At 40.8% G+C, this 7,892-nt stretch overlaps 1 annotated feature.

Moving 5' to 3' along the window:
• Window positions 307-895: an enhancer, noted in NCBI's record as "NANOG-H3K27ac-H3K4me1 hESC enhancer chr8:129356185-129356773 (GRCh37/hg19 assembly coordinates)". NCBI's record gives its function as "activates a minimal SCP1, AML or CMV promoter by ChIP-STARR-seq in naive and primed H9 embryonic stem cells {active_cell/tissue: H9 hESC(naive and primed)}" and the evidence as "EXISTENCE:reporter gene assay evidence [ECO:0000049][PMID:30033119]".

Consider the following 7,892-nt stretch of genomic DNA (forward strand, 5'->3'; position numbering starts at 1 on the left):
GAATAGTTGGGGGGAGGAGCCAAGATGGCCGAATAGGAACAGCTCCGGTCTACAGCTCCCAGCGTGAGTGACACAGAAGATGGGTGATTTCTGCATTTCCATCTGAGATACCGGGTTCATCTCACTAGGGAGTGCCAGACAGTGGGCGCAGGTCAGTGGGTGCACGCACCGTGTGCCAGCTGAAGCAGGGCGAGGCATTGCCTCACTCAGGAAGCATAGGGGGTCAGGGAATTCCCTTTCCTAGTCAAAGAAAGGGGTGACAGACGGCACCTGGAAGAAAGGGTCACTCCCACCCGAATACTGCGCTTTTCCGAAGGGCTTAAAAAACGGTGCACCAGGAGATTGTGTCTCGCACCTGGCTCGGATGGTCCTCCGCCCACGGAGTCTCCCTGATTGCTAGCACAGGAGTCTGAGATCAAACTGCAAGGCGGCAGCGAGGCTGGGGGAGGGGCGCCCGCCATTGTCCAGGCTTGCTTAGGTAAACAAAGCAGCCTGGAAGCTAGAACTGGGTGGAGCCCACCTCAGCTCAAGGAGGCCTGCCTGCCTCTGTAGGCTCCACCTCTAGGGGCAGGGCACAGACAAACAAAAAGACAGCAGTAACCTCTGCAGACTTAAGTGTCCCTGTCGGACAGCTTTGAAGAGAGCAGTGGTTCTCCCAGCATGCAGCTGGAGATCTGAGAACGGGCAGACTGCCTCCTCAAGTGGGTCCCTGTCCCCTGACCCCTGAGCAGCCTAACTGGGAGGCACCCCCAGGCAGGGACAGACTGACACCTCACACGGCTGGCCGGGTACTCCAACAGACCTGCAGCTGAGGGTCCTGTCTGTTAGAAGGAAAACTAACAAACAGAAAGGACATCCACACCAAAAACCCATCTGTACATCACCATCATCAAAGACCAAAAGTAGATAAAACCACAAAGATGGGGAAAAAACAGAGCAGAAAAACTGGAAACTCTAAAAAGCAGAGCGCCTCTCCTCCTCCAAAGGAACGCAGTTCCTCACCAGCAATGGAACAAAGCTGGATGGAGAATGACTTTGACGAGCTGAGAGAAGAAGGCTTCAGACGATCAAATTACTCCGAGCTATGGGAGGACAGTCAAACCAAAGGCAAAGAAGTTGAAAACTTTGAAAAAAATTTAGAAGAATGTATAACTAGAATAACTAATACAGAGAAGTGCTTAAAGGAGCTGATGGAGCTGAAAGCCAAGGCTCGAGAACTACATGAAGAATGCAGAAGCCTCAGGAGCCGACACGATCAACTGGAAGAAAGGGTATCAGCGATGGAAGATGAAGTGAATGAAATGAAGTGAGAAGGGAAGTTTAGAGAAAAAAGAATAAAAAGAAACGAGCAAAGCCTCCAAGAAATATGGGACTATGTGAAAAGACCAAATCTACGTCTGATTGGTGTACCTGAAAGTGACGGGGAGAATGAAACCAAGTTGGAAAACACTCTGCAGGATATTAATCAGGAGAACTTCCCCAATCTAGCAAGGCAGGCCAACATTCAGATTCAGGAAATACAGAGAATGCCACAAAGATACTCCTCAAGAAGAGCAACTCCAAGACACATAATTGTCAGATTCACCAAAGTTGAAATGAAGGAAAAAATGTTAAGGGCAGCCAGAGAGAAAGGTCGGGTTACCCTCAAAGGGAAGCCCATCAGACTACCAGCGGATTTCTCGGCAGAAACTCTACAAGCCAGAAGAGAGTGGGGGCCAATATTCAACATTCTCAAAGAAAAGAATTTTCAACCCAGAATTTCATATCCAGCCAAACTAAGCTTCATAAGTGAAGGAGAAATAAAATACTTTACAGACAAGCAAATGCTGAGAGATTTTGTCACCACCAGGCCTGCCCTAAAAGAGCTCCTGAAGGAAGCGCTAAACATGGAAAGGAACAACCGATACCAGCTGCTGCAAAATCATGCCAAAATGTAAAGACCATCAAGACTAGGTAGAAACTGCATTGACTAACGGCAAAATAACCAGCTAACATCATAATGACAAGATCAAATTCACACATAACAATATTAACTTTAAATGTAAATGGACTAAATGCTCCAATTAAAAAACATAGACTGGCAAATTGGATAAAGAGTCAAGACCCATCAGTGTGCTGTATTCAGGAAACCCATCTCACGTGCAGAGACACACATAGGCTCAAAATAAAGGGATGGAGGAAGATCTACCAAGCAAATGGAAAACAAAAAAAGGCAGGGGTTGCAATCCTAGTCTCTGATAAAACAGACTTTAAACCATCAAAGATCAAAAGAGACAAAGAAGGCCATTACATAATGGTAAAGGGATCAATTCAACAAGAAGGACTAATTATCCTAAATATATATGCACCCAATACAGGAGCACCCAGATTCATAAAGCAAGTCCTGAGTGACCTACAAAGAGACTTAGACTCCCACACATTAATAATGGGAGACTTTAACACCCCACTGTCAACATTAGACAGATCAATGAGACAGAAAGTCAACAAGGATACCCAGGTATTGAACTCAGCTCTGCACCAAGCAGACCTAATAGACATCTACAGAACTCTCCACCCCAAATCAACAGAATATACATTTTTTTCAGCACCACACAACACCTATTCCAAAATTGACCACATACTTGGAAGTAAAGCTCTCCTCAGCAAATGTAAAAGAACAGAAATTATAACAAACTATCTCTCTGACCACAGTACAATCAAACTAGAACTCAGGATTAAGAATCTCACTCAAAACCGCTCAACTACATGGAAACTGAACAACCTGCTCCTGAATGACTACTGGGTACATAACGAAATGAAGGCAGAAATAAAGATGTTCTTTGAAACCAATGAGAACAAAGACACAACATACCAGAATCTCTGGGACACATTCAAAGCAGTGTGTAGAGGGAAATTTATAGCACTACATGCCCACAAGAGAAAGCAGGAAAGATCCAAAATTGACACCCTAACATCACAATTAAAAGAACTAGAAAAGCAAGAGCAAACACATTCAAAAGCTAACAGAAGGCAAGAAATAACTAAAATCAGAGCAGAACTGAAGGAAATAGAGACACAAAAAATCCTTCAAAAAATTAATGAATCCAGGAGCTGGTTTTTTGAAAGGATCAACAAAAATGATAGACCGCTAGCAAGACTAATAAAGAAAAAAAGAGAGAAGAATCAAATAGACGCAATAAAAAATGATAAAGGGGATATCACCACCAATCCCACAGAAATACAAACTACCATCAGAGAATACTACAAACACCTCTACACAAATAAACTAGAAAATCTAGAAGAAATGGATAAATTCCTCGACACATACACTTTACTAAGACTAAACCAGGAAGAAGTTGAATCTCTGAATAGACCAATAACAGAATCTGAAATTGTGGCAATAATCAATAGCTTACCAACCAAAAAGAGTCCAGGACCAGATGGATTCACAGCTGAATTCTACCAGAGGTACAAGGAGGAACTGGTACCATTCCTTCTGAAACTATTCCAATCCATAGAAAAAGAGGGAATCCTCCCTAACTCATTTTATGAGACCAGCATCATCCTGATACCAAAGTCGGGCAGAGACACAACCAAAAAAGAGAATTTTAGACCAGTATCCTTGATGAACATTGATGCAAAAATCCTCAATAAACTACTGGCAAACCGAATCCAGCAGCACATCAAAAAGCTTATCCACCATGATCAAGTGGGCTTCATCCCTGGGATGCAAGGCTGGTTCAATATATGCAAATCAATAAATGTAATCCAGCATATAAACAGAACCAAAGACAAAAACCACATGATTATCTCAATAGATGCAGAAAAGGCCTTTGACAAAATTCAACAATGCTTCATGCTAAAAACTCTCAATAAATTAGGTATTGATGGGACGTATTTCAAAATAATAACAGCTATCTATGACAAACCCACAGCCAATATCATACTGAATGGGCAAAAACTGGAAGCATTCCCTTTGAAAACTGGCACAAGACAGGGATGCCCTCTCTCACCACTCCTATTCAACATAGTGTTGGAAGTTCTGGCCAGGGCAATTAGGCAGGAGAAGGAAATAAAGGGTATTCAATTAGGAAAAGAGGAAATCAAATTGTCCCTGTTTGCAGACGACATGATTGTTTATCTAGAAAACCCCATCGTCTCAGCCCAAAATCTCCTTAAGCTGATAAGCAACTTCAGCAAAGTCTCAGGATACAAAATCAATGTACAAAAATCACAAGCATTCTTATACACCAACAACAGACAAACAGAGAGCCAAATCATGAGTGAACTCCCATTCACAATTGCTTCAAAAAGAATAAAATACCTAAGAATCCAACTTACAAGGGATGTGAAGGACCTCTTCAAGGAGAACTACAAACCACTGCTCAAGGAAATGAAAGAGGATACAAACAAATGGAAGAACATTCCATGCTCATGGGTAGGAAGAATCAATATCGTGAAAATGGCCATACTGCCCAAGGTAATTTACAGATTCAATGCCATCCCCATCAAGCTACCAATGACTTTCTTTACAGAATTGGAAAAAACTACCTTAAAGTTCATATGGCACCAAAAAAGAGCCCGCATCGCCAAGTCAATCCGAGCCAAAAGAAGAAAGCTGGAGGCATCACGCTACCTGACTTCAAACTCTACTACAAGCCTACGGTAACCAAAACAGCATGGTACTGGTACCAAAACAGAGATATAGATCAATGGAACAGAACAGAGCCCTCAGAAATAACGCCACATATCTACAACTATCTGATCTTTGACAAACCTGAGAAAAACAAGCAATGGGGAAAGGATTCCCTATTTAATAAATGGTGCTGGGAAAACTGGCTCACCATATGTAGAAAGCTGAAACTGGATCCCTTCCTTACACCTTATACAAAAATCAATTCAAGATGGATTAAAGCTTAAACGTTAGACCTAAAACCATAAAAACCCTAGAAGAAAACCTAGGCATTACCATTCAGGACATAGGCACGGGCAAGGACTTCATGTCTAAAACACCAAAAGCAATGGCAACAAAAGACAAAATTGACAAATGGGATCTAATTAAACTAAAGAGCTTCTGCACAGCAAAAGAAACTACCATCAGAGTGAATAGGCAACCTACAAAATGGGAGAAAATTTTCACAACCTACTCATCTGACAAAGGGCTAACATCCAGAATCTACAATGAACTCAAACAAATTTACAAGAAAAAAACAAACAACCCCATCAAAAAGTGGGTGAAGGACATGAAAAGACACTTCTCAAAAGAAGACATTTATGCAGCCAAAAAACATATGAAAAAATGCTCACCATCACTGGCCATCAGAGAAATGCAAATCAAAACCACAATGAAATACCATCTCACACCAGTTAGAATGGCAATCATTAAAAAGTCAGGAAACAACAGGTGCTGGAGAGGATGTGGAGAAATAGGAACACTTTTACACTGTTGGTGGGACTGTAAACTAGTTCAACCACTGTGGAAGTCAGTGTCGCGATTCCTCAGGGATCTAGAACTAGAAATACCATTTGACCCAGTCATCCCATTACTGGGTATATACCCCAAGGACTATAAATCATGCTGCTATAAAGACACATGCACACGTATGTTTATTGCGGCATTATTCACAATAGCAAAGACTTGGAACCAACCCAAATGTCCAACAATGACAGACTGGATTAAGAAAATGTGGCACATATACACCATGGAATACTATGCAGCCATAAAAAATGATGAGTTCATGTCCTTTGTAGGGACATGGATGAAATTGGAAATCATCATTCTCAGTAAACTATCGCAAGAACAAAAAACCAAACACCGCATATTCTCACTCATAGGTGGGAATTGAACAATGAGAACACATGGACACAGGAAGGGGAACATCACACTCTGGGGACTGTTGTGGGTTGAGGGGAGGGGTGAGGGATAGCATTGGGAGATATACCTAATGCTAGATGATGAGTTAGTGGGTGCAGCGCACCAGCATGGCACATTTATACATATGTAACTAACCTGCACATTGTGCACATGTACCCTAAAACTTACAGTATAATAATAATAATAAAGAAGAAAAAAAAAGAATAGTTAATTTTTTTAATTTTTAATTTTTAATTTAATTTACATGAGATATTTTGATACATGCATAAGATGTGTAATAATCACATGAGGGTAAAAGGACATCCATCACCTCAAGCATTTATCCTTTGTGTTACTATTTAATTATACTCTTTTAGTTATTTTTAAATGTATAGTTAAATTATTATTGACTATATTCACCCTGTTGTACTATCAAATATGAGATCTTATTTATTATTTGTAACTGTTTTAACCACTAACTATCTCCACTACACCTCCTCACCACTATTATCCTTCCCCGTCTCTGGAACCCTCATCCTACTATCTCCATGCGTTCAATTGTTTTAACTTTTAGCTCCCACAAGTGAATGAGAACATGCAATGTTTGTGTTTATATGCCTGGCTTATTCATTTAACATAATGTCCTCCAGTTCCATCCATGTTGTTGCACATGACATGATCTCATTAAAAATCATGAACATGGATTGAAGGCTGCCTGTAAACTAAATACTGCTTTTAACACTGTGCACACTTTATCTCATTTCAATGTTATGACACCCCAGGTCACAGATGAAGAAATGGAGGCACAGAGAACTTGAGCAACCCAATGTCACCAACTATTTAGTAGAAAAGTCAGGAATAGAATCCAGGCAGCCTGAATCCAGAATCCTGTCCTCTTTCATAGTTTGTTTTATTTTAAACTTTTAAAAGTTGAATAATACAACATTTGAAGAGAAGTGCACAAATTATAAATACGCATTCAATACATGATCACAGGGGTCAGCAAAATATAGCCCACAGGAAAATTCCATCCTGCCACCTGATTTTGTAAATAAGGTTTTACTAGACTGCAATAATTCATTTATTAATTGTTGATGGCTGTTTTGGGGCTACAACAGAGTTCAGAAAGCCAGAGAAGAATGGCCCCCAAAGCCTGAACTATTTGCTATCTGTTCTTCTTCCTAAAAAGTGTTGCCAATCTTTGTGTTATCACATTGTGAGGGCAACTGGGAACCTATCATCCAGGTCAAAAAGTAGAGCATAACCAGTGTCCAGGAGCCCCTCCACTTACTTGCTTACTTCCAAACACTCTTCCTTCCCTCCAGCCCAAAGATCATCCCCACTTTGATTTCCAACATGGTGGGTTTGTTTTGCCTATTTTTTATTTTATTTTATTTTTATTTATTTATTTTTTATTATACTTTAAGTTTTAGGGTACATGTGCACATTGTGCAGGTTAGTTACATATGTATACATGTGCCGTGCTGGTGCACTGCACCCACTAACTCGTCATCTAGCATTAGGTATATCTCCCAATGCTATCCCTCCCCCCTCCCCCCACCCCACAACAGTCCCCAGAGTGTGATATTCCCCTTCCTGTGTCCATGTGATCTCACTGTTCAATTCCCACCTATGAGTGAGAATATGCGGTGTTTGGTTTTTTGTTCTTGCGATAGTTTACTGAGAATGATGATTTGCACACGTATGTTTTGCCTATTTTTGAACTTTATACAAATGCAATCACACAGTGTGTGAGTGCTTCCCTTTCAACTGCTGTGCTATGCTGAAGTGCTTAACTTAAGTCCACAAGAAATGGGAGGCCAATTTCCATTTTCTCTGACCACAGAGCAGGCAAGAACCTAGAAGATCAGGCATGCTCGCTTCTTCTTGGAAGGGTACCTACAAGGTTCACTCTTTTCAGATTGCAAGTTGAATTAGGGTCCTCTGTGTCTATCTGTATTCATTTCCTGTTGATGTTGTAATAAATTCTCACAAGCTTAGTGTCTCAAACAATACAAATTTATTCTCTTAGAGTTCTGGAGGTCAGAAGTGTGAAATA

The sequence above is a fragment of the Homo sapiens genome, chromosome 8 (assembly GCF_000001405.40).
Source record: "Homo sapiens chromosome 8, GRCh38.p14 Primary Assembly".
Lineage (NCBI taxonomy): Eukaryota > Metazoa > Chordata > Mammalia > Primates > Hominidae > Homo > Homo sapiens.